The sequence below is a fragment of the Homo sapiens genome, chromosome 9 (genome assembly GCF_000001405.40).
Source record: "Homo sapiens chromosome 9, GRCh38.p14 Primary Assembly".
In the NCBI taxonomy this organism is placed as follows: Eukaryota; Metazoa; Chordata; class Mammalia; order Primates; family Hominidae; genus Homo; species Homo sapiens.
The window spans coordinates 93,237,369-93,262,731 of NC_000009.12; the positions used below are offsets into that span (position 1 = coordinate 93,237,369).

Genomic DNA, 25,363 nt, shown 5'->3' on the forward strand with positions numbered 1-25,363 from the left:
ACCATCTTTCTCTGCTGCATCACATCTTCAGGTTCACTCGTCTTTTTTCTGCAGTGTGTAATCTGCTGTCAGTCTGCTGCGGTGAAGTGTTCGATTCAGATGGGCTTTTCATCTCGAGTTCTATTTGGTTCTGTTTTTATCTCTCATTTTTTATGTTCATTTTCCTTTACTGCTTGTATGTATCTGTAAAGAGTTTTAACCTGCTTGCCTACAAGTTGCAGCCCCTCTCACTTGTAGGTCTCTTTCTGTTGGCTGGCTTTTCTGCAAGGTCGTGGGTCACATTTTCTTGCATCTCAGCATTTCTAGTAATTTTTGATTGGATGCTGTACATTGTACACATCCTGACCTGTGTGAACTCTGTGAATTGCCCTGCCTGCAGCTCCCTGTGGTTCTTCACCCGGCCCTGTGGCATTGACAATGCACATGTGGTTTTGTGGTCTGGTCCTCAGCAAAGGCTGGAGGGGACCAAGGTGCAGATACTTGGGGCTCTTTTTTTTTTTTTTGCTGTATGTTCTCTTCTTTCTGGAACTCTGCCTGTGGCCTCCTCAGCCTTCCTGAACTCAGCTCTACCCCTCAACTCAGTGGGGCCACAGGGCTCTGCTGGTTTACGGTGCCTTGTCTGGGAACTGCTCTGGGCAGTGAGCTGGGGCCATGGGAGATTGTGTCCCTTTCTCCCAGAGCCCGCATTTGGCTCTGCCCTGTCATCCGTTTCACATATTTTGCCCAGTTTTCTAGTAGTTTGTGCAGGTTAAGTCCAGTGCCCGTGTCCTGCCGTGGCTGGGAGTGGGAGTTCCTCCCACTGTGGTGGAGGCCTCGCCTTCCGGCAGCCGATCGGGTCAGGTAACTCTGCTCTCTCCCTGTCAGGGTATCAAGCCGGCCAGCTTTGAGAAAGTGCACGATCCTGAAATCAAGGAGATTATTGGGGAGTGTATCTGCAAAAACAAGGAGGAAAGGTGAGTTCCCCTGAAGGGCTGGGTTCTGGGGTCCATCTCCAGCTGAACTCATTCCAGCTTGCATTGAGAGCTGTGTTCTTGATGAGGGGACTTCAAGACAGGCAGGCTCAGGCCAGGGTGTCTGGGGCACGTTAGCAGGGGCTGGTGAGCATGTCGGCCCTGAGTGCGTGTGGGTGACACCAGGCCAGGAGGCCAGGCCCTCACGTCCTTGTTGGCCATCTGGAAACCCTCTCCTTGGCTTTGGGGACAGCCCCCTCCTTGGCTTTGAGGACAGTCCTGTCCTTGGCTGACTGCTCCTCCAGGACCCAGCCTGTAGCATCTGAGCACCTGGGGCTTCTCTCCAGCCTCTCTGCTCCTCTCTGCATGACTCCCATGCCTTGAAGAACATCCCCACGCCAGTGGCTCTAGGTGTGGGCCTCCATTTGGAGCCCTGACGTGTATTTCATGGACTGGGTTGTTTGGCCCTTCTCAAAAATAGCAGGCCTGGAACCGCTCCACAAAGCCGGCTCCCCACCTCCAAGCAGGGCCTGTCCTTCCCTGTTGGTCAGGTGGAAGGCTGGGGGTGCTTCCTCAGCCTTCCCTCCCCCTCACACTGGAGTACACCCACCATCTGACGTGACACCCCTCAGCAGTAAGCAGGGATGGATTGTGGATACTCGAAACTACACAGGTGACTCTGGAGCACACACAGAGGAAGCCAGGCCCCAAAGAGTGCGTGCTGTGTGGTTCCATTTATAGGGTAAAGGGGGTTATAGGTTAGTGGTTAGGGAGGCTTCTTTGGGTGGCCAAGCCCTGCAGAGCCCCGAAGTGGTCACCATGGCAACACCCTGTGGCCCGCCCTCCCGGATCCCTGCAAAGAGCCTTCGAGGCTGGGTCTGGCTGGGGCCCCCCCAGTTCTGCAGGTCCTCACTCTCCTCCAGCTCACCCTCTGCTCTGCTCTCTGTCATCTGGCCAGCATCCTGAAGGAAGCCCCCTTGAAAAGGTCACTGCTTCATGGCACTGGGCACAGGGAGCTCAGAGCGTGGGGGGCTCCGCCTCTGTGTCCATTTTAGACCTACCCAGGACTAAACACTAAAATGTTTCAGTTGTGTCTTCTGACAATTGAAAGCTGGCTAGCACATCCACAGGGGCTGTATTTGCATAATGGGAGGCCTAATGTTTTTCCAAATCCTCTTTTGTATCATTGAATCTTTTATGAGCATGTTTTTTTTTTTTATAATGAGGGGGAATAAAGGAAGTCTTAAAACACTATGTGTTAATAGTAAGACTGGATTCACTGAAATCTTTTCTTTACCCCTGGGAGTGCTGAGACATGAGGCCTGGCCTCAGGCTCCTGCAGGTGTGCCTGTCCTTGTCCTGGTGCGCATGGACACAGGAGCCTGGGCATGGAGGCCCTGGCGCCCGTGCCCCTGCCTGTCAGCTGCTCTCCCTCCAGGTACGAGATCAAAGACCTGCTGAGCCACGCCTTCTTCGCAGAGGACACAGGCGTGAGGGTGGAGCTCGCGGAGGAGGACCACGGCAGGAAGTCCACCATCGCCCTGAGGCTCTGGGTGGAAGACCCCAAGAAACTGAAGGGAAAGCCCAAGGACAATGGAGCCATAGAGTTCACCTTCGACCTGGAGAAGGAGACGCCGGATGAGGTGGCCCAAGAGATGGTAAGCAGGACTCAGATGGGGTGAGGTGGGTGCAGGTGTTGGCAGCTCGTGGTTTCCAAGGATGAGAACAAAAGTGGGCTGAGGGGGCTTGCTCCGGAGGGGACTGCAAGGCCAGTGGGTGTGGCGGTGCCATCCAGGCAGGTGTGGGCAGCTGAGGTCTCACAGCCTGGCCACGTCTGCCTAGGGTCTGCACAGGGGTGGCCTAAGTGGGAGTCCCCTCAAAAACACAGCACCCAGGGGATTAGCAGCTCCGAGCCAGTGCAGTGCGGGAATTCAGGGTGGGTGTGCAGAGAGCAACCCAGGACCTCTGACTTGTCAGAAAGGCCTCGCTTGCTTTGCCGGACTCTTGCTGACTTTGTGTCAGTGTGGTGGCTTTGGGTTTGGGATCTTCGCCTTTCCTTTTGTTTGGGAGCACTGTTACATTGGGTTTCTGGGACTTGGGACTTTTCCACCTAGAAAGGCGGGTTGGGGGTACCTTTCCGCCTCTTCTCTTCCTCCTGCTCCTCTCATCATCTTCAGCTCTGTGGATGAGGAGTGGGTTGGGGCTGGCAGCAGAAGTGCCGCTTTGTGCTGGGGTGTCATCGAGGCCTCATTGGAGGGGGCGCTGAGCCGACTGGAATGAGAGGCAGAAGAGACAGGGCCACAGGCACAGGCAGAAAGGAGTGGGAGTGGTCCAGGTGCAGTGGTAGGAGGAGAGGCCACGCTGACGATGCCAGGGGGTCAGCGGTGGAATGGGAATTGTGTGGGATGTGGGGACAGGTGCAGCAGGTGGGACAGATCTAGATTATTCTGACTTGATTCTCAGGTCTGTGCCATCCAGTAAAATCGCCACTGCCCACATGTGCTATTAAAATATAAATTAATTAAAATTTAAAATCCACTTTCTCAGTCCTACTGGCCACATTTCAAGTGCTCTGTGCCAAGTGTGGTTAGTGGTTCTTGTCTTGAACAATGCAGGACGTTTCTGGCCTGGAATGTTCTGTGGGGCACTGCTGCCCTGGGCCGGGGGCTGTTAGAAGTTCTTGGACAAGCAGACTTTGGTCACACCCCTGCAGGGATAGGGCATGTTTGCTGGGCATTGGGCAGTGGACGCCAGAGAGGGACAGTGGTGGGAACCTGGCCTGGGAGGGCCCCAGGGCCAACACTGCTGCCTGAGAACCCTAGTGCAGGGCCTAGAGACAGACAGAGACGTCTTTGTTGTTGGTTACAAAACATGAACAAACGTTGACATTAAGTCAGACAACTTGATACGAAGGACAGGAATGTCTGCACCGGAACAGGTGAAAACAAAGTCACAACGGGGAAGACCAGTGGGAACGAGAGGCTAGGAAGAAGGCAGTTAGTATTGCATGGTAAGAAAGTTGCGCATTTGCAGTGAACACCTGAGCAGAAATAAATCCGGTGTGCTCATGATAGCCCTCGGCTCATGTGTCCTGACCACAGAGGTGCTCGCTGTTTTTTCTTTCTTTTGAATAAGCTTTTTACTGAATACATCACGTCTGTTGAAAATGTCCATCAGTCACCAGTTCCAGGCTGATGATTCTTCCCAAGCTTCACTTCTCCAGGCCGGGCTGGGTCTCAGTAAAAAGAAGTGGAGGGGGTTGCAGAGAGGTGGGAGGGGCGGCTGCTCTGGAAGGTTCCTGCGGAGGTCTGACTCGGGTGTGGAAACTGAGGCTTGGTGATACCATGGAAGGTGCTTGGGCCCTTGGAGCCAGGAATGCTGGGGTGCCAGTGAGCTGCGTGTTTGTCACAGACTCTGCTCCTCCTGGCAGCTCCTTGTCCATGGGGGCACTGGTATGTGGTACATGAGGGATTCAGTGGGCCACATGGTGTAGGTTACGCCGTGAGGTCAGTGCAGGGAGCAGCAGTCTCTCAGCTGGACTTCCTGCAGCCGCGACCCCTGAGGAAGGAAGCAGGTGGAACTGGACTGCTCCTGGGGCTGGCTGTGTGGCTGAGGACTTTGGGCTACTTGAGCTAAGGTCCTGCTGGGGTCTTGGCACGCTTCCTGCTGCTCCTAACCTCACCACAGCTGTAGGATGGGGTGTTCCTGGTGTGGACCTGAGTGCAGGGCCTCAGTGACTGGGACTTGGACTGGAGGAGACACCTCCTCAGGCTGCCAGTGCCTTGGGCCAGGGCTCTGCCTTCCCCTGCACAGTGGCCCATGTCCTGGGCTGTGATAGCACAGTGAGGATGGCTACAGCTCCCACTGTGGGGTGGCGCCCAGGCTGGCTTCTCTGTGGGGCTCCTGCAAGCTGGCTGCACTATCACCGCAGATGCTGCAAAGTGGCCACCTGTGTCCCCACCTGGCCCATTCTCATCTGGCTTGTCTCTGCTCACATCCCTGACCCAGACACAGAAGCCTCTGCTATGAGCAGATCTAATGGGGTTGATGAGCTCTGTGCTTCCTGGAGGATCTTTCCTTGCTCTCCATGACCATGTGGTGCACAGAGGTACATTTTTTCAAATTGAATTGCTACAAGTTTGCTGTGAATTACATTCAGATAATTACCAGCACATCTGTCCTGTGACTTCAGGTGCACCATTTCTCTGCCGATGTAATACAGCTGTCCGTTCACACATTCATTGCAAATAGCAAGTGCCGAGTGAGATGCTGCATAGGCTATGTACAGCGTGTAAGCTGAGGATTGGGATGGTGGCTGCAGGCCAAGAACATCTCTCTGGAGGCACCTGGCTGGCCGCTCAGTGGGATGGCTGAGGTTTTGAGAGGACAGAAGATGGCCTCGAGGGAGGATGAGGATGACCTGTGGGAGTCTCACGCACAAATGAGGATGAGGAAGGTCCTGGGGCAGCTGTGCTGGCTCTGACCTTGCAGGGAGTTACCTCTATCCTGGTGCTGAGGTCTGGGCCAAGGGCAAGGATAGGAGGACATTTGGATGACCTGGTTTTGATGTGGTGACAGCCTCAGGAAGGGCAGGAGAATGAGGCGCTCTTGTTCCTTCCATGAATGTGGTTATGCTTGGTCAGTGCTGGGGGGACAGGGTACGAGGGACCAGGGAGCTGTGTCAGGAGGCCAAGTGCTACAGCGACGGCTGAGCGGCAGAGGGGACATCAGAGCCCTCTCAGCACTGATTCCAACATGGGTGGTGCAGCCTGGGGAGGGCCCCAGGATTCTACAAGAGCAGTGTTGCTGCCTCCACCAGACCTCGTGGGCTCCTTGCCTGTCTTGGGTTCTGTCCTAAGGTGGCAAAGCCCAGAACCTGCCCTGGGCCTTTCTAGCTGCTCCGAAGACAGGCAAGTTGGAGGAGCCTCCCAAGACTGCGACTCCTCCCTGCTTTTCATCCACACGGAGACTTGGCCTCCCTGCCCCCGCCCTCCTGCAGGGTCATTGTGGATGCAGCTGTCCCTTCAACCTACAGCCTCCTGTGCCCATCACCACACAAGTCCCCGTCCCTGGCAGTTGGCTGAACTCTGCGGCTGTGTTCCTGCATCAGTTCACAGCAGAGGCCCCTTGGCCCGAGCACCTTCACCCCCGCTTCTGCATCTTTTGCATTTTTTTCATTGTGAGACACATCACCCGTGAAATAGAGCATCCAAGAAGAAGGGACATGACCTGTGCTCAGCTAAAGCACAACAATAAACAGCACCCGCCCCACTCTGCTAAGAACAGGGAAGGCAGGACCTCAAGAGCCGCCTGGCAGCAGCTGGAAGCAACATACTCCTACCTTGGGGCTCACTCCCCGGGAACAGCTTGTGTGCCCCGGCAGGTTGACGCTGGGTCCCTATGGGGCCTTTCCAGGTTCTAACCTCACACTCCTCCTTCCCACCCGCTTCAGACACCAGAGTCCGTCACTGGCCTCCCTGGGGTCCTGACAACAGCCCTGCCATGGACCCTAGACTGGAGGGGCTTCGCCGTGATGCAATGAAAACAGCTTGATGTTGGTGCATCTGCTGAGGCTAGAGAGACACTAGCACCTGGCTCTGAGGCTGCTCTTCTTCCTAAAATCTGAGATTAGGCCGGGTGCAGTCACTCATGCCTGTCATCCCAGCACTTTGGGAGGCCAAGGCAGGAGGATTGCTTGAGCTTAGGAGGCCTTTGCTGTGAGCTGTATCCTGCTGCATGATTTCCAGCCTGGGTGGCAGAGCGAGACCCTGTCTCAAACAAACAAAAGTCCCTGAGATTAGCAGATGTTAGGTCTTAGAGGTGTTCTGGAATCCAGATGAGACCTCTTTCTGGAAGGACCCCGAGGGTGGGAGAGAATGCAGATGTGGCAGAGCTCTCCTTCCCCTGAAGTCACCTCTCAGCAAGTTCCACTCGGCAGATGGAAGAGGCCAGATGGAGCTCCCCAGAGAGAGACAGAGATGAAATAGCGGGCTCTGTGGGGCCTGGGCCAGCTTCAATCTGGAAGGGACTCTGGGAGTCGACCCCCAAGGGGATTCCCAGCCAGCCCTCCCCTCCACCTTCATACTCTCCTGATAATGCAATGCGCCTGTGTGGCACTCACCATGGCTAAATGTTTTCCTGTTTGGGAAAAAAAATAGAAGAAACACTTTAGAGAGGAAGGCTGGGGGTGATGATGAAGACAGTCTCAAGGGAAAATGGGCTGCGGGCTGTGGCGCCAGCAGCAAATAGTAATGGCAGCAGGAGGACGTGGCCTTGGCAGCCTCTGGTCACGTATCTGGGCCGAGGTGGGCAAGGGTGGGGCCACGCCCTGGATATGACCCCGAGGCCACGTGGAGCCTTAGGAATGGCCTCACCCACATGCTCACTAGGAGCAGAGGCCCGGGCCAAGCAGGTCTGGCTGGCTGTGCATACCTGCGCCCAGGTGCCAGTGACAGGGACACCTGCCTCGGCCTCCCTGTGAGACCCCCTAGGGTTGGAGCCCGTTCTCTGAGGCTCCCTAGAAAAAAGTCTGCTCTGGACTCTGAGCCAGAAGGGAACCTGGTGCCTGGTTTCTCCTCCTTCCCAGCTGGGCTGCCCTGCTGCTGAGTGGCCTTGGGGCTGGTTTGGGGCCAGCGGCAACCCTGAGTGTAGACGGGTCCCACTGACTGAGCCGTAAGCTTCTGTCCCACCTCACTGGTCCCCCCTCCCCCGCCCCACTTATGTCTCTTCTGAATCAGGGGAGACTGACCAGGGCTGTTTCTGTTAGGGAACATCATTCTGTGGAAAAAAATTGTCTTTTGAAACAAAGACTTTTGAATAATCACAAACTTACTGAAAAATTGCAAGGACACTACAAAGAACCATTTATTTTCCACGAACCATTTGAGACTAAGTGGCTGACCTGATTCCCCTGAAGCCCTGAATACTTTCGTGTCTGCTTCCTGAAACTAGGGCACTTTCTTGCATCCGGAAATACCGTCAATCCTCAGGCCCATCCTCCTATCCTCGGGCCACTCAGGTCCCCAGTTGTCCCAGTGACACCATCACAAGTCCTCTGGGCCCCTTTCCTCGCCTGACTTCCATGTCCTGTCCCTCGGGACGGGCTCAGGTGGCCCTCTGTGGGTGGGTCACAGTCAGGTCTTGCATCTCCACAGGAATCTCATGGAAGGGGCTGAGTTTGCATGTGTTTCCCCGGGGTGCACAGCTTCACCCGCCAGTTAGGCAGATGCTGGCTCTGAGCTTGGTGCACGGCGCCTGTGGCTTCTCTAAGTTGAGCTCCTCTCACCTTTTGCAACTGTACGTGTCTCATGGAGAATGTTTGGACACTGTAAATATCTTGTTTGTCACCAATCTTCTCACTTATTTCTTTATCTCTCTGTGGCCTCATGGTTTTCTGTTTTACTCAATGGGTCCTGCTCCACAGATGAACTGTCCCATTGCTGCCTAGTGAGTCACTTGAAATGCCCTGGCTCCAGCCTTAGAGGTCAGGGATCAGGTGCCTTGGCTCAGGGCCCTAGTGAGATGGGATCAGGTGTTGGCCTGGGCTGCAGTCTCAGACCCTGCCTCAGAACTCAGTTCCCTGCCAGGAGGGCCTCTGCATAGGGTCATTTGTGACATGGCTTCCCCTAGAGCAGATGATCCACAGGAAAGGGAGGCAAAGAGACTGGGTGAGGGAGCCACAGAGGAGAAACGGAGGGAGAGATGGGGATAGAGAGGCCACACCTACCTGCCGCCCCCCACCTGATACCAGCAGTGACACTTCACCCCTCCTGCCACCCCCATATGCAAAATGCATGTCAGAGTCTGTGGACATGTCCTTCAAACCATCATTGTGTTACTGTTCATTTTGATGCTCAAAATGCCCCAGATTTGCCAGCGGGAGGCCCTCAGCACTGGCTCCCGTGCCGTTTTGCACGTCCCTGTCACTCTGAGCACGTCCTCACTGTCAAGCTCATCCTGTCCTTCTCCTGCCCAGCCTTGAGCTGCCGCCTCTTAGAGCCGCGCTGCATTCCTGTCCTGGCCGAGCTCTGCATGCTCCTTGCTGTGGGTGTTGTTGCTCCCAGGCCCTCCTGGTGAACTCAGTTCACAAGTACGCATGTGTCTGTGCATTTACACCGCGAAGGTGTCGGGAGCCTGCCTGTGCAGTCTGTCTGTGTTTATTCACTTCTGTTGTGCGCTTCACACCAACAGCTCCAATTCCCACCCAGCAAAAAGGTTCCTGTTGAAAATTTCTGCCTCTCCACACCTGAGGAGCCTGGCGTCCACTATCCCTAATATATTTTCTTGTTTGGTCACTTTTGTGGGGTCGCCAGCCTCCATTGGTGCTGTCACCACCTCCCCTCCCCGATAGCTATGACTCCCTCTGTGCCTGGCACTGCCCCGAAGCCAGGATGCCCTCTTGCACGGGCACCTCCGCCCTACTGCAGAGGCCTGGCTGGTCCAGCCTGACCTAGAGCCTTTAGGACTGAGGTGCTCAGGAAGGGAGGGGAAGTGCGGGTGGATCTGGAATCTTTGTTCTCCCATGTTTTCATGTGTTTGTGGTCACTACAACTGCAGCCTAGCAAGAGCAGCCCCTTCAAAAGGGATCTCTTTTATCAGAAGAAAGAAGGTAGTTATTCCGTGAATATTCTTGGCGAGCTCATGATGTTTCCTGGAGACCTTCGGGCTCTCTTACAAATGCTCTCAAGGCTGTGCTTGGTAAATCAGTTTTAAAATTTGCCAGGCATCAGTGCATACCTTACTGGTCCCTAATTACAAAACGCATGTCCTTCCTCCATCTGCAACTCGGGTGTGGCCCCGTTCCCCATCTTTGGGCAGCCCCAGACTCAGAGACGTTTCAGGAAAATGCTAGCTCCAAAGCTCCTTGTCACCACTTCTGAGTATGGAGACAATCAGGAGCCCCTTCCCGTCTGCCACCAGCCCCGGGGGCGCTGGGAGCTCAGGGAGCCCTTGGGTCCGGTTGAGGGGCTGGTCTGCTTTGCTCTTGCTGTGGACTCTGCGGGATGCAGGTCAGGCCTGCGTGGTGGTGGTCTTTCTTTGCCTTGCCTGGCAAACCCCTGCCATGCCATCTCTGAGCTGTCCCCGCGGATTTTACATTCAGTGGCAGTGGGATGGCGAGCGTGTCCTGCGTGGATGAGCCAGTGATGGGAAAGCACTTTAGGTAAGGGGTGTGGGCCGGTGAGGGCTGATCCCCAGCGATGCTGACAACATGACTGCCTTTACAGATTGAGTCTGGATTCTTCCACGAGAGTGACGTCAAGATCGTGGCCAAGTCCATCCGTGACCGCGTGGCCTTGATCCAGTGGCGGCGGGAGAGGATCTGGCCCGCGCTGCAGCCCAAGGAGCAGCAGGATGTGGGCAGCCCGGACAAGGCCAGGGGTCCGCCGGTGCCCCTGCAGGTCCAGGTGACCTACCATGCACAGGCTGGGCAGCCCGGGCCACCAGAGCCCGAGGAGCCGGAGGCCGACCAGCACCTCCTGCCACCTACGTTGCCGACCAGCGCCACCTCCCTGGCCTGTGAGTGCTCAGGGGTGGGATGGCCATGGGCACCCCTCCCACCTACCCTGCAAAAACCAGCTATTGGGCAAAGAAAAATGAAGTCCTCTCCCTTTATTGGAATGCTTTGTGAGGAAGGGGGTCCGCATGGCATCCCCTCGGAGGAGACATCGTGTAGCTCTGAGCTGTCCTCACGTAGCGTGGGTGATTGCTTTAGCTGTAGGTAGTTTCCGGGAGTCCTGGCTGGGCACCTATGCCCCGTGACAGGCTCGCCTTCTGCCAGCACCTTTGGTGCCAGGGCATGTCGGGAACTTCATAAGAGAGCAACTTCCAGGGTGGTGGGGCCAGCAGACCCAAGCACTGGGATGTGCAGGGCCTGATTCTGTGACCAGCCTGGGCCCTGTCCCCCCAGCCCACCATGCAGGGTGTGGACCCTAGGTATGGGTGAGCCTTGTTTCAGTGAAGGGATTGGGGCTTTCTCAGCATTTCCCGGTGATCTGTAACCAGGAGATTAAGGCTCAATGAAGTTCATGTTCTCAGGACAGATGGGGACAAATGGGCCGTGAGCCAGCAGGGTCTGGTGGAGCCAGTTCAGTCCCACTCTGTGCTATGGATCTGTGGATTTAGGGCAGGTTCCTTAACCTGTCTGAGAATGACAGTTCTGGCCCCTTGGGGGGAATGTGAAGGCCAGGTGAGGTGGTGGCAGTGGCTGCTTGGTGGGACATCTGTCCTAGGAACAGAGTGTGCTGCTTGCTGGCTTGGCTTGTGGTGTTGCCGTGGGGACCTCCCATCCCCCGTAGTATCTCCCTTCTAAGGCAGAACCTTTGGGACCTTTTGTACATTTTCAGTAGGGTGTTACTGATGAATTGGCAGGAATCACTTTGGATCAGGTTTCATCTAAGACCATTTAGGGAAAACCTAGTATCTTCTGCACATACAGGCAGAAAAGTTTCTGTCTGTGCCCTCAACATCCTAAGAATTCAGCAGTGAGCTGAGGACTGAGGAACATGGCATTGTTCATTCTGTGAATATGCATGGGATAGAATGACAGAGCCAAGGGACCTGCCCGGGCCAATATTTCAGATCATTCATGTGCAAAGACTGAAATAGTCTGTTTAATTTATTTAATATGCACATCCTTCATTTATCATTGAAATGGCTAGTTCTTTAAAGTAGGCTATTTAAATTCAAACAAGCAGTCATCATGTTGAGATGGTTTGCCTACTATTTATGTCACTCGAACCTGCGCAGATTTGCTTTGGAGAATAAAATTGGTACATTATTGCTCCATTTTCTGATACATCTAAAAAATTAAAGAGCACAGACTTTTTGTAAGAAGAAATTCTTCACATCTGACACAGCACTACGCACTTTTAAATCGTAATTGTGGGTTAAATAATTCCTAGGATGGGAGTTTAAAAATCTCCTTTTTTCAAACTTTGAAAAGACATAGTTTGAGGATATTTCTATATGTTTAGCTTGTGGTCAGATAATATAATTCAGGTTTGATCCACTGTGGGAAAATCAGATGGAGACATCGACTGACTGATGATTGCAATTCAGGTGTGGGTGTTCTCTCTGCAGACAGGCCCACTTCCAGACCAACTGAGGATTCTGTGTGCTTTGTGCAGAGGCCATGGCCATGCTTCTCAAAAACACTTTTTTTGTTGTTTTTTTTGAGACGGAGTCTTGCTCTGTTGCCCAGGCTGGAGTGCAGTGGCGCGATCTCGGCTCACTGCAAGCTCCGCCTACCAGGTTCATGCCATTCTCCTGCCTCAGCCCCTTGAGTAGCTGGGATTACAGGCACCTGCTATCACGCCCAGCTAATTTTTTTGTATTTTTAGTAGAGACAGGGTTTCACCGTGTTAGCCAGGATGGTCTCAATCTCCTGACCTCGTGATCCGCCCGCCTCAGCCTCTGAAAGTGCTGGGATTACAGGTGTGAGCCACCGCAACCAGCCCCTCAAAAACACTTTTACTTGTTCATTGCGGTTTCTTTAAAGTAGGTAATATAGCCACATGGTGTCAAATTCAAAAAGGCCGGGAGGTAGCAAATCACTTCATTGTCCTCCCTAGAGGCAACAGATGCTACCAATTTTTTTTTTTTTTTTTTTTTTTTTTAAAGACAGTCTCGCTCTGTCTCCAGGCTGGAGTGCACTGGTGCGATGTTGGCTCCCTGCAACCTCTGCCTCCTGGGTTCAAGTGATTCTTCTGCTTCAGCCTCCTGAGTAGCTGGGACTATAGGCATGTGCCACCACGCCCAGCTAATTTTTGTATTTTAATACAAAAATAATAATACAAAACAATAATAAAACATGTAGCCTACCACACACATAGAACACCCATAGGCACACATAGAACACACACACAAATACATAGGCACATCTACACATGCACATACACATGGCTACCACACGTGAACACCTGCACACAGACATGCATGCCCCACGTGTGTGTACACAGGCACGCCCAGCCTGCATGCAAATGGACACATATGTACACATGTGAACACCCCCACAAATGTGAACACATTCACCTGCACACATACATGCACACATGTCTGCATTCATACATGAATATGCACATGCACACTGACATCCACATGTGTGCACACATGTACACCCTTATCCCCTTCTGTTTCATAATGGATAGCACCCCGCATAGCCTTCTGCACCTTGCTCTGGGATATGCTGGGTAAGAGCAGGAACCCCATAATCCAAGAAGAACCTGGTCTGTGTAACAAGATTGGCAAACAGACACACATTATTGTATTGGAAGATGCAACAGTATGTCAGTTTTTATGGTTTTCCCTTGTTGTGTTTTCTTAAACTGCCCACCAAGTGTCCTGACCAAGCGGGGGCTTCCTTGGTGACTCTATTTAAGCAGCTGGTGACTGTAGTAGCACATTTACCAATAGTTTCAAAAATGTCTTCTAAAATGTTTAATTGTGTAATTAATGAACTCATTCACTTTTTTTTTTTTTTTTTTTTGAGACGGAGTCTCGCTCTGTCACCCAGTCTGGAGTGTGGTGGCGCAATCTCGGCTCACTGCAACCTCTGCCTCCCAGGTTCAAGTGATTCTTCTGCATCAGCCTCCCTAGTAGCTGGGATTACAGGCATGTGCCACCATGCCTTGGCTAATTTTTGTATTTTTAGTAGAGACGGGGTTTTGCCCTGCTGGCCAGGGTTGGCCTTGAACTCCTGACCTCAAGTTATCTGCCCGCCTCAGCCTCTCAAGGTGCTGGGATTACAGGCATGAGCCACTGTGCCTGGCCCATATTCACTTTATTTTTAATTTTTAAAAATTTTTTTATTATTTTTTGAGACAGGGTCTCGCTCTGTCACCCAGGCTGGAGTGCAGTGGCAGGATCTTGGCTCACTGCAACCACCATCTCCTGGGTTCAAGCTATTCTCCTGCCTCAGCCTCCTGAGTAGCTGGGACTACAGGTGTGTGCCACCATGCCCAGCTGATTTTTTTCGTATTTTTAGTAGAGGTGGGGTTTCACTATGTTGGCCAGGCTGGTCTCAAACCCCTGACCTCGTGATCTGCCTGCCTCAGCCTCCCAAAATGCTGGGATTACAGGCATGAGCCACCATGCCCGGCACATATTCACTTTAAATATGTAAAATGTGGGCCGGGCATGGTGGCTCCTTTTGGGAGTCAAAGGTGCGTGGGTCACTTGAGCCCAGGGGTTCGAGACCAGTCTGGGCAACGTGGCGAAACCTCATCTCTACAAAAGATAGAAAAATTAGCCAGGTGTGGTGGTGTATGCCTGTAGTTCTAGCTACTCAGGAGGCTGAAGCAGGAGAATTGCTTGAGCCTGGGAGGTCAAGGCTGTAGTGAGCCGTGATCACACCACTGCACTCCAGTCCAGATGACAGTGAGACCTTGTCTCAAAAAAATAAATAAATAAAATGCTACACATATGGTTAGAATTGCTCTACTTGAAACTTGTCAGGTCTATACACGTTCTCCCCTTCCTCCCCATCCTCCTCTCCCCTCTCTTCTCTAAGTGGATGTGACCACTCGGCTCATTAAAAATCAGAGCTGCCTGTCTGATTGGTTTTGCACAATTAAACCTCAGCATTTCTTATGTCTTCCTAGGTTACAGTAGGTTCAGTCCATTCCTGGGAAAAGTTATTTTAACGCCAAGCCAACAGGATTTCCCTTTTGTTTAAATTATAAACAGACACAGTATTCTGAAATGCAGCCCCTCGCGAAAATAGTGTGGCGTTTGTAAGTGGTAAATTCTAAAGTTTCTGTAGCTTTTGGCATCTGGAAGCAGTAAGCCCAAAGTACCATTTCAGACAGGTTTTCGTTTTCCCCTCTGCTGGCATGACCCCACAGGCTGAAGATGTTCCCAGGCACACCGTAGTATGAGAAGCCCGTGGGCTCTGGGGTCCTGTCTGTGCCCCCATGAGCAGGCAGGTCTGTTTGGGTTTGATGGGGACCAGGCCAGCCTGAGCCATGCGAGGCCTCTGGGGGAGCTCAGGCCATGGGCGCTTGGTGTCACCCCTGCCACCGCATCCACCACACAGGGGAATAGTGGGTGCATTTCCCTCTCAAGGCCTCTCTGCGGGTGTTGAGGGCACCTTGACATGTTTGGGCCCTTTGCCATGGTGTGTTGAAGGTGGTCAGAGTGCTGAGACACCCTCGCCTCTTATAAAACACAGGTGATATTTATCTCCACAGTGAAGACATCAGTTTTTTCTTACCTCAGACATTCCTTTGGCCTCCCAAGTCCCTTGTGCCTTTAAGAGCTGGAATGTGTGCTTGGTGCCCAGGCCACGGCGGGCTGGTTGTGGGTACCTGCCTTGTGGGAGGATTGGCACGATGTACCCGCCCTGACATCATGCTGGCCAGACATGGGCAGTGTTGGAGTGGGGCACCGTGACAGCATCCCCAGTATGGTTCTGTAGCAGCCAATTGTTTAAACAATATGTGCGGGTTATTTATGTGATCTGGAGAAACAAGCCTTTATTTTGCAGAAGAAAATATGCAGATGAGCCAATGTTTGTTCATGTGACATTTGGAGATGTCCACTCTAAGTCCTGCTTTTGTCCTCCCCAGCGGACAGCACCTTCGACAGCGGCCAGGGCTCTACCGTGTACTCAGACTCGCAGAGCAGCCAGCAGAGCGTGATGCTTGGCTCCCTTGCCGACGCAGCGCCGTCCCCGGCCCAGTGTGTGTGCAGCCCCCCTGTGAGCGAGGGGCCCGTCCTGCCGCAGAGCCTGCCCTCGCTGGGGGCCTACCAGCAGCCCACGGCTGCAGTGAGTCAGAGCATCACTCCCACCCCCTTCCCCATCCCCATTACCTGGTCTGAGGGCCCTGAGGGCTCTAAATTCTGTGATGGGCTGTCCAGGCTGCACTGCATTGTGGTCAGCATTAAAAGTGGCCTGTGGTCAGTGTCCAGCCACACTTCCCCTGGGGAGACATTCAAAAGCCAGGCCCAGAGGAAAGCCCCGTCCTTGCTGTCAGCTGCGGAACTGCTGGCCGAGTAGCCCTGACATTCCTGTAAAGACCTACTAGATAGGAAAGACACCCTATTGGAAAACAGACCCCAGGGCACCCAGAATTTGGGAGGCTATGGTAGAGCTGAGTGGTTCCCCCTGGGGAGCGGGCACAGTGATAATGGTGACAACCCACAGCCACAATCATGATACCCACTGACAGTGCCCTGGGCCTGGGACATTATCCCAGACTGTTCCATAGATCACAGAAAAGCATCATTTGTACGAAGGAAACCTGAGATTCGATCTAGCTGCCCAGCCTCCTGAGGGGCTCCTGGCACTTCTCTCCCAGATATTGTGTAGCGGTTAAAGTCAGAGCTATGAAAATAGGGCGGGGATGAGGGGAACACTTTCAGGGAGCACGTGTGGCAAAGGAGTGATGGAACCTCGGGCTGTGACGACACGTGTGGGTTGATTCCCACGGGAAAGACTAAGATGAGTGGGGTCACATTTGGCACTTATTTTTTTATTTTGATTTTTAAAAAACACTTTAGAAAGCAAAACAATTGCTCCTCGCAGTCCCAAGTGCCCAGCCACAGAGGGGTTGCCCATGAGCCCCAGGCAGTAGATTGGTACCCTCAGAGCGTAGTTTGTTTATTTATTTGTTTATTTGAGATGGAGTCTTGCTCTGTTGCCCAGGCTGGAGTGCAGTGGCGTGATCTCAGCTCACTGTAACCTCTGCCTCCTGGGTTCAAGCGACTCCTCTGCCTCAGCCTCCTGAGTAGCTGGGATTATAGGCACGCGCCACCACGCCCAGCTAATTTTTGTGTTTTTAGTAGACACCAGGTTTCACCATGTTGGCCAGCCTGGTCTCGAACTCCGGACCTCAGGTGATCCTCCCTCCTCAGCCTCCCAAAGTGCTGAGATTACAAGCGTGAGTCACTGCACCCAGCCTCAGAGGGTGGTTTATGGGGTGGGCTCTCACCTACTGTGTGAGCCAGGAAACCCAAGCAAGGACATCACAGGTGCAGCCACTGTGTACTCCGGGCCAAGCTCCTTCTTCCCTCGTGAGCAGCTCCTGCCTGGCGCTTTGGCTGTGCTGGTTGTCACTCGCACACTCAGCGCTGTGGCCCGTCTTCTTGATGTCGGCTGAGCGTGGGCACATGGGCTGTTCTGGCCTCCTCTGTCCTGCTGGCTGCCCTGCTGCACCCTTGCATGCGGGACCAGCCTTCCCAGGCCTGCTCAGTCGGAAGGGTCCAGAAAGGCCCTTTGGAAAAGCAGTGGAAGCTGTTTGCCGAGTCTGCCTTTGCTGACTGCAGCCCCAGGACTCATTTGCAATTTGCATTTGCAGTTTTCTTCATTTCACAAAATGAAGTGAAATACAATTTTAAACAGCAGAACTCATTTAAGGAAAGGCGAGGCTGAACGTGGTGGCTCATGCCTGTAATCCTAGCATTTTGGGAGCCGAAGGCAGGAAGATCACTTGAGCCCAAGAGTTCCAGGCCAGCCTGGGCAAAAAAGCAAGACCCTGTCTCTACAACAAATTTAAAAAAAAAAGAAAAGAAAAGGCTACTTGCTGCTCCAGAGTGGTGGTTCTTGGCTTTGAGGATTGGCTGAACTGAGGCTGGACTGGAATGTTCTGCCTGGCTCTCATCCCTCCTCAGCCTAGGTTAGGGCTTCCCATGCCATGTGATACCACATGAGGCACTCCTGGCCTGGGCTCCCACTGGGCCAAGTCCCTCTCCTGTGGCCTTGGTGATGCTGCTGGTCTCAGCATCAGTGTGGAAACCAGCACACCTGAGCAGGGACATCACAGGTACAGTCACCTTGGACCAGGGGCCTGAGTCTCAGTCTTCCTACCTAGTGACACAGAGACAACTTACTCAAAAAGGATGAGGCCTGGAAGGAGTCCCCAGGTGTGCTGAGGGCTCTCCCTACCCCTCCGTGCCTTTCCTGGGATGGTTGCCATGGTGATGTGTCTGCAGCGCCCAGTGAAGGAGGAGAAACAGCCAAGGAGGAGCAGCTGCCGTGGGGCTGCCAGGCTGCCCTGGAGGCTGTCTGGAGCACGAGGCCACTTGCTCCAGGCTGCCAGGCCCTGCCCGAGCTCCTGGGCTGTGTACAGTGCCCAGAGCTGGTAGACGGATGGTCCGGCCCAGTCAGGCCCATCCTCCACTCCCTGGCTTCAGGTGAATCCAGAAGCCCAGCTTGATCCCAGATACACTTGCTCCAACCACTCACACCATGCTGCCTTTCATAAAGCACCCACCGCGAAAGACAAGTGAGGAGGGCAGTTTTGGGCATGCCATCACTCACGTGATCCAGAGAACCCCACGGGAGAGAACGTTCATGGCAGGGTGGAAGAGCCATGATCCTCTGTAGCCCTGCCTGCTCCTCACATTCTCGTTGTTTTGAAATAAATCCTAGACAGCAAGACACTTCCCCTGTAAATGATTCAGCCTCTGGCTCTGCACAATAAGGACTCTCAGAGAACAAAGCCCAATTCCATTAGTACACCAACAAATTAACAAATTCGCAGCAATTCCTCAATGGCAGCAAATACCCATTCTGAGAGCTTAGATTTCCCATTCTTTTGAGGTCTGTGTTCACTCCGCCGCTGGAGTGCTCACATGCTGTTCCAGGGCCCGTTTCTCTCCATATCGTCTGTGAGTTATGTATAAGTTTTCATCTTACATGGTCACAGTCATATGGACCGTGAGCTTCCCCAGTTTAATGTCCTCGGGAGCCTTTCTGTATGGTTCTGCAGAGCCTCTGTGCTGGCCTTTTTTGTGGTTGTGTAATGTTCTGTGGGGCTGATGTGCCCGGGCACCCCTGGGCTGGGGGCTGTGCTGTTCCTGGCCCTTCACTGTTGTGAATGATGCCCAGGGCTCCCTCACTGCTTCTGCTGTCATGTTCCTGGGAAGAGGGACCCTGGTAGGGACCAGGCACAGGGATGACATGAGGCTACCCTGCCCCTGCCCAGGAGGGGGCCTGGTGGCCGAGAGCTGCTGCTGAGTGTGGCCCTGGTGCTCTCTGCAGCCTGGCTTGCCGGTGGGCTCTGTCCCGGCCCCCGCCTGCCCTCCGTCCCTCCAGCAGCACTTCCCGGATCCGGCCATGAGCTTCGCCCCCGTGCTGCCGCCGCCCAGCACCCCCATGCCCACGGGCCCAGGCCAGCCAGCACCCCCCGGCCAGCAGGTGAGTGTGGCACCTCCTGTGGCCACTGTCCCTCCAGGCAGGCAGTCACCTGTGCTGGCCCCTGGGCCCAGGTCTATGAGCACCTCCCACAGACCCTTCGCTCAAATTCTCTGTGGTTCCCCCAGGTCTTTGGTGTGCCTGAGGGATGGGAGTGACTCTCGTATGTGCATGTGTTTGTGTGTGTACGTGTGTGTGTGTGTTTGTGTGCGTGCATAGTGTTCGCAGTGCCCTGCACATGGAAGGCTCTGCTCACTCAGAACATTTCTGCAAGATCTGCTGTGCCCTGGCTCCAGGCTGGCTGGAGTTTGGTGATCTGTGTGTCTGAATGTGTATACGTGTGACTGTGCAAGTGTGTGTGTGCAGGCATGTGTGAATGTGAGCATGTGCGTGTGCATGTGAGGGTGAGGGTTGATATCCTGTCATGTGTAACCAGTGGGGTGCGCTTGTCTGGGCAGATTGGTGGTCTAAGGGGAGCTACCTTCTCTCCCTCTAGCCTCCTCCGCTGGCCCAGCCGACACCCCTGCCGCAGGTCCTGGCCCCACAGCCCGTGGTCCCCCTCCAGCCGGTTCCCCCCCACCTGCCACCGTACCTGGCTCCAGCCTCCCAGGTGGGGGCCCCCGCTCAGCTGAAGCCCCTCCAGATGCCACAGGCGCCCCTGCAGCCGCTTGCTCAAGTCCCTCCGCAGGTAATTCTAGGTTGATGGCTGCCGTCAGTGGTGGCGCACGCTTTGCCAGGCCCTGGCTGGTGCACTAGGACACCCACAGAGGGGGTTGTCTGTGCATGTGACCTGTGACCTGGGGTTGGGCTGGCCAGGGAGTTGGGGCTGGGCTGGGGAGTCCGGGCTGGGCAGTGTGCACAGTCATATGCACCAGGAACGCTCCAGGGTCCCACACAACCAGCCACTTGTCCCTTGGTGGCTGGCTTGGCTGCTGTCTCCTGCCCTCCAGCCTCACCTTCTCTACCAACCTGGCAGGCTGCTCTTGGTCCTTCCAGGCCATGACCTCCCTGGGGTCCTTCAGGGAGGGCGGGCAGCCCAGTACCCCATCACCTGGCACCCTCCCAGCAAGGTGCCCATCTGCCCTCAGCTTACCCATGTGCCCAGGCTCATCCAGGATAGGAAAAGGTTTGTTAGTCCAAGGTCGTGGACAGTCCTTGAAGTGGTTGCTGGGTTGGCACAGAAAGCAGGTAGGTTTGCCTCAGAGGAGCGTTCTTCCTGTGGAGCTCCTCCAGGGCCGTGTGGCATGTGGCTCCTCGGAGTTCCAAAGCCAGCCTGTGGCATTGCTGACTGCAGGAAAGCCCAGCCAGCAAGGCTCGACTCACACAGCTGAAGTGACTTCTGCTGTCTTTCTCTGGGTACACTGTCTTTCACTCGAGGGACCTGACTGCATGTAACTGGTGCAGAATGTAGCCGGGGCCAGGGCACCATTGCCCAGGTAAATGGCATGGAGGATTCTAGGTACTCCCGAGGGCTTCGGTGACCCGGACAGGCTGATCAGTGATAAGACTGGAAGTGTGCTTCACTCTAAAGATGGGGCAAGTGAGTGTTCCTGTGATTCACGAGCCCCACCTGGAAGATTCTTTTGTGTTGTCTCACCCTGCTCAGGCCCAGATGTCACCATAGGACGTTAGGCAGCTTCAGGGTCTAGTGAAATCGTTATCTTGCTCGTTCAGACAGACAGGAGTCCATGTGCATTTTTGCTGCCTCTTGATTACATGGAGGTGTAGGCCAGGTGACACACACCAGCATGCACGAGAAGGCTGTCAAAGATGGAAGTGCTATGTCCATGTGGCCGGGTGTCAGCCACCCCCAGGAGGCACATGTAATGCTGAGAAGAGAAGATACAGGCAAGGTTTCGGGAGTTCCTGGTGTGGCAAGGCTGGACAGGATAGGGGTGTCCCCTGAGCCAGCCAAGGTGGCTCAAAGATTTGCTTTCTCTGAGAACCCTCTGAAAAGTCAGGTTTCAACTTGAATTTGTGCATGTTGCAGGGATCAGGCTAAGGTGATTTCAGATGCTCAGGGCCAGTCTGGTGGCTCTGACAGTCCCAGCCATTCTGAATGAAAATGCTCCAGGGCTCTGAAGTCACTCCTCTATGACCTGTGGTCACTGCTCCTGCTGCTCACACTATGTGAGCTGCCCCTGACTCCCTCAGAGCCCCCAGCATGGCTGTCGTGAGTGTGGACACAGGGAGGCCTCCCTGCGCTGGACCAGGGGTGATCGAGCAGGTCATTCCCAGCCTGCCAACTTTCCTTTTCTATTTGAAGAGCTTTACATGGTTGAGATTTCTGCACCTGTTGGGTTTATCTTTGGGTTCCCTTCAACAGCAGCTACACAAAGGTGTCTCGGAGGGAAAGGGTCATGCTGTCTTCATCCCGTGTCCCCTCGTCCCCAATGACTGTGGCTGTCCTTGCATGCAAGTGCTGTGGGCAGGGACCCTGGTTGGGGCCCACACTGACACACTCCTGTGTCTCTTTCAGATGCCCCCGATTCCTGTTGTGCCCCCCATCACGCCCCTGGCGGGAATCGACGGCCTCCCTCCGGCCCTCCCAGACCTGCCGACCGCGACTGTGCCTCCCGTGCCACCACCTCAGTATTTCTCTCCAGCCGTGATCTTGCCGAGCCTCGCTGCCCCACTCCCCCCTGCGTCCCCAGCCTTGCCTCTGCAGGCTGTGAAGCTGCCCCACCCCCCTGGGGCGCCCCTGGCCATGCCCTGCCGGACCATTGTGCCAAATGCACCGGCCACTATCCCCCTGCTGGCCGTAGCCCCACCGGGCGTGGCTGCCCTGTCCATTCATTCTGCCGTGGCCCAGCTCCCAGGCCAACCTGTGTACCCAGCGGCCTTCCCACAGATGGCGCCTACTGACGTCCCTCCTTCCCCCCATCACACGGTGCAGAATATGAGGGCCACCCCTCCACAGCCGGCACTGCCTCCACAACCCACACTGCCCCCACAACCCGTGCTGCCCCCGCAACCCACGCTGCCCCCTCAACCTGTGTTGCCCCCGCAACCCACACGGCCCCCTCAACCTGTGCTGCCCCCGCAACCCATGCTGCCCCCACAACCTGTGCTGCCCCCGCAGCCGGCACTGCCTGTGCGCCCTGAGCCCCTCCAGCCCCACCTTCCTGAACAAGCTGCTCCAGCTGCTACACCAGGGAGCCAGGTAATCACCTGCTGGGCAGGGGCTCACCCTCCCAGCGTCTGGGGACCCTCAGGACCCAGAGATGCAAAGGAGGACAGAGGCAGGCAAGGAGGCAGCCCTGCCTGGGGTCGCCCCTCTCAGGAAGAGATGTGTGTGAGGCTGAGGGAGGCGGGGGCTGGCGCCAGCGCGAGGCATCTGCATCTCTTCCGTTTTCCGAATGGGTCAGGAGATGCAGGAGTCCGTGCCTGATAGGTTCTGTGTCCCTACCTTCCCATGGCTCTGTGGCCCCTGCTCTTGTGGTATCTTTGTACCTGCCCTCACCCAGGCCTGGTCTGGCAGCCTTGGTGTGGCTTGCGTTGGGGCACAGGTTGTCTGTCTGAGGTCCACCCTTCAAAGAGCATCTTGTCAGGATGAGGCAGGGTGACAACCCCATCTTAGGGAGGGCAAGGAAGTGAGGCCGATAGCGGGGCAGGGGCTGGGGGCAGATGGCACTGCTGGCTGCAAGGGTGGTTATGGTGGGACCCGGGGCCATGTCCTGATGTCAGGTCAGGCGGATACCTCGTGGCAGCATGCTGGCTGGCTGTGAAGGGGCGCTCTGGAACACATGATATGTGCCCTGCTGGTGGGAGGCCTTCCCACAGGGATCCACACCCCTACACAGTCCACTCATGTTTTGGGGCTTGCAGACTATTCTGTTCAAACTCGAGTGAGGTGAGAGGGGCTAGTATGGGAGCCTTCCCACCTGGGCACTCTCGCACTTGGGCCTCCTTATCTGGGTCCCATCCTTCCTGGCATTTTCCCACCTGGGCCTCCTTACCTGACCTCCTCCTACCTGGCCTTACCCCAGCTCTGAGCCCTGTCAGCCCTGTAACTGTGGCACAGCCCTGCCTTTTGAGCCTCAGCCTCCGCAGGAAAGCAGCTGGCATGGTCCTAATGTGAAGGGGCCTGGGGTGGAGCATCCCTGGTGCCAGGTGCCCCCCAGCTCCGTTAGTGCTGAATCCAGACTGGAGTAAGCTGCCCCACCGTGAGCCGTTCCTCCTGGCCATCACTTCTTGCTGTCTTATCTCCAGAGGGCTTTGTGCATAGAGAAGGAAGGGATGGTACATATTGGATAGCAGGGTGGTGTTTGATTAGACAGTGAGTGGGAAGAATCGCATCCGTCCTGTGGCCCACCCGAGTAAGTGCTGTTGGTCCCAGCAGGTTTCAGCGGCAGCTCAGAGCCCGCTGGTTTGCAGTCAGGTCTGTTTATCAGAAGGCCGAGGGCCACACCAGGGAGCAGGAGGGGGACCTTGCTGTCTGGGCTTTCCTACCTGAAGAGCCTTTCTGGGCACAGTTAGTGGCTACAGAGGGGTGCCTTGTGACATGTGAGGGTCACTGCCAGACTCAGTGGCTGTCCCTGCTGTTTGGCTGGGGAAGGGTCCAGAAGTCTGTTGATGAGCTGGGCTGGCCACCCCATGGGGTACCCTGAATGCAGCAGCTGGGGTGTCTTGTCTGTCCGGGAGGGAAGTGGTTACCTGCTAGGCTGGGGCTTGGTATTTCTGACCCTGCCACTGGCTGCCAACAGAGGGTCTCAGGGCCAGCAGGCCCAGTGAATGTGGCTGTTCCTTCCAGCCCTGAGAGGTGAGAAGTTTCTCTAAAATTTCAGCCTTCTCAACTCCAAAATGGGGGCAGAAGACAGAGGGTACTTGCACTTTCCAATCCATGGTTCCTCCTTCCCCACTTGTCTTACCTTTTACTGCCAAGGAGCTTTTAGAGAGAGACGAGAACAGTGAGAAAGCCAAGCCTAAGCCGCAGTCGCCCTCCAGGAGGCGGCAGGTGTCAGTGCGCGCTCTGAGGCCCTATGCACACTCTGACCGGGGGCCAGATGGGGCAGGCTGCCGCAGGCCCCAGTGGGTGGTGGGGGCCTGGCTTTGATGCTGTGTGTCCTGTTCTCTGACCCTTCAACCAAGCTTGGCAGGTTCATAGACGGAGCCCCGTTCCTGGCCTTTGCACACAAGTAGACTCTTCCACAGAAAGGGGTGTGAGAATGACCATTCCTGTTTGTTTCTGCTCACTCCATCTGCTAAATGTGCTCTGAGACAGGGACTCCCCTTGGGGAGGGTGTGGTCTGGAGAGGGGTGTTCCCATCTCGGCCTGGGTATTCCCAGACACACCTGGGCACGGCCCCCTCAGTGAAGGCAGCGCCGGCCCTGACTTGCACCTTGTCCCCTGTGCCCCCAGATTCTGCTTGGCCACCCAGCTCCCTATGCTGTGGACGTCGCCGCTCAGGTCCCCACCGTGCCTGTGCCACCGGCTGCGGTCCTCTCGCCGCCTCTGCCGGAAGTGCTGCTGCCTGCCGCCCCTGAGCTCCTGCCTCAGTTCCCCAGCTCCCTGGCCACGGTGTCTGCCTCTGTGCAGAGTGTGCCCACCCAGACTGCCACACTTCTGCCACCAGCAAACCCACCGCTGCCTGGCGGGCCCGGGATCGCCAGCCCTTGCCCAACTGTCCAGCTGACGGTGGAACCAGTCCAAGAGGTGTGTGCCCCTCCCCCCAGCCTGTCCCATGACTGGGCAGTTGCGGCCACCGGGGATCTGCATAGTGACCTGGGGTCTTAGTCCTAGAGGTCGGGGTTGCTTAGCTCTGGGACAGCCACCCAGGTTCTGTTCTCACCTCTCCCTAGATTTCACACTTTCTGTAAGCCACATCAAGACAGAGGGTGTGATTTTTATAGATACAGGTTTAGAGGATGCTTTCCCTGGGACAGGATGCAAGAGACTGTGAAAAGCTTTCATAGCACCAGTGTGTCCTCTTTGAGGGATGATCAAAGTGGGTTAACATTTTTGGAAAGGAAGTGGCTCCCAGCTTTTATGAATACACTCGGGTCCAAGCGTTTCAACAAGATAAAAACCTCTATGCCTGCTCCCATTGTGACGCCCCCTGGGTCGTACCCACCTGGCTGCAGAAGAGAGCAGGAGAACGCAGCGGGGCAGGCTGGGCTGAGGAAGTGGGGAGGGAGAGCTGACTATGCGTGGCTGTGCCCACAGGGAGGCGGGAGTCCGCATGACCTGTTCTCTTTTCTCCGGGTGTTTATTTCAGGAGCAGGCCTCACAGGACAAGCCGCCCGGCCTCCCGCAGAGCTGTGAGAGGTAGTGTGGCCC

General features: G+C 55.1%; 1 protein-coding gene across 51 annotated transcripts in view, besides 2 other annotated features; it reads left to right on the forward strand.

Moving 5' to 3' along the window:
• Positions 1 to 25,363, forward strand: part of WNK2 (WNK lysine deficient protein kinase 2) — a 136,431-nt gene that overhangs the window by 53,230 nt on the left and 57,838 nt on the right. For all 51 annotated transcript variants that reach the window (NM_006648.4, XM_047423745.1, XM_047423751.1 and 48 more), the window contains 9 exons: positions 865 to 953; positions 2,389 to 2,608; positions 10,175 to 10,466; positions 15,515 to 15,714; positions 18,931 to 19,086; positions 19,580 to 19,771; positions 21,563 to 22,246; positions 24,446 to 24,739; positions 25,302 to 25,351. In NM_006648.4, coding sequence (NP_006639.3) covers positions 865 to 953; positions 2,389 to 2,608; positions 10,175 to 10,466; positions 15,515 to 15,714; positions 18,931 to 19,086; positions 19,580 to 19,771; positions 21,563 to 22,246; positions 24,446 to 24,739; positions 25,302 to 25,351 — 2,177 coding nt within the window. The remainder of the gene's footprint in view (positions 1 to 864; positions 954 to 2,388; positions 2,609 to 10,174; positions 10,467 to 15,514; positions 15,715 to 18,930; positions 19,087 to 19,579; positions 19,772 to 21,562; positions 22,247 to 24,445; positions 24,740 to 25,301; positions 25,352 to 25,363) is intronic.
• Positions 684 to 1,184: an enhancer, noted in NCBI's record as "H3K4me1 hESC enhancer chr9:96000334-96000834 (GRCh37/hg19 assembly coordinates)". NCBI's record gives its function as "activates a minimal SCP1, AML or CMV promoter by ChIP-STARR-seq in primed H9 embryonic stem cells {active_cell/tissue: H9 hESC(primed)}" and the evidence as "EXISTENCE:reporter gene assay evidence [ECO:0000049][PMID:30033119]".
• Positions 7,379 to 7,878: an enhancer, noted in NCBI's record as "H3K4me1 hESC enhancer chr9:96007029-96007528 (GRCh37/hg19 assembly coordinates)". NCBI's record gives its function as "activates a minimal SCP1, AML or CMV promoter by ChIP-STARR-seq in naive H9 embryonic stem cells {active_cell/tissue: H9 hESC(naive)}" and the evidence as "EXISTENCE:reporter gene assay evidence [ECO:0000049][PMID:30033119]".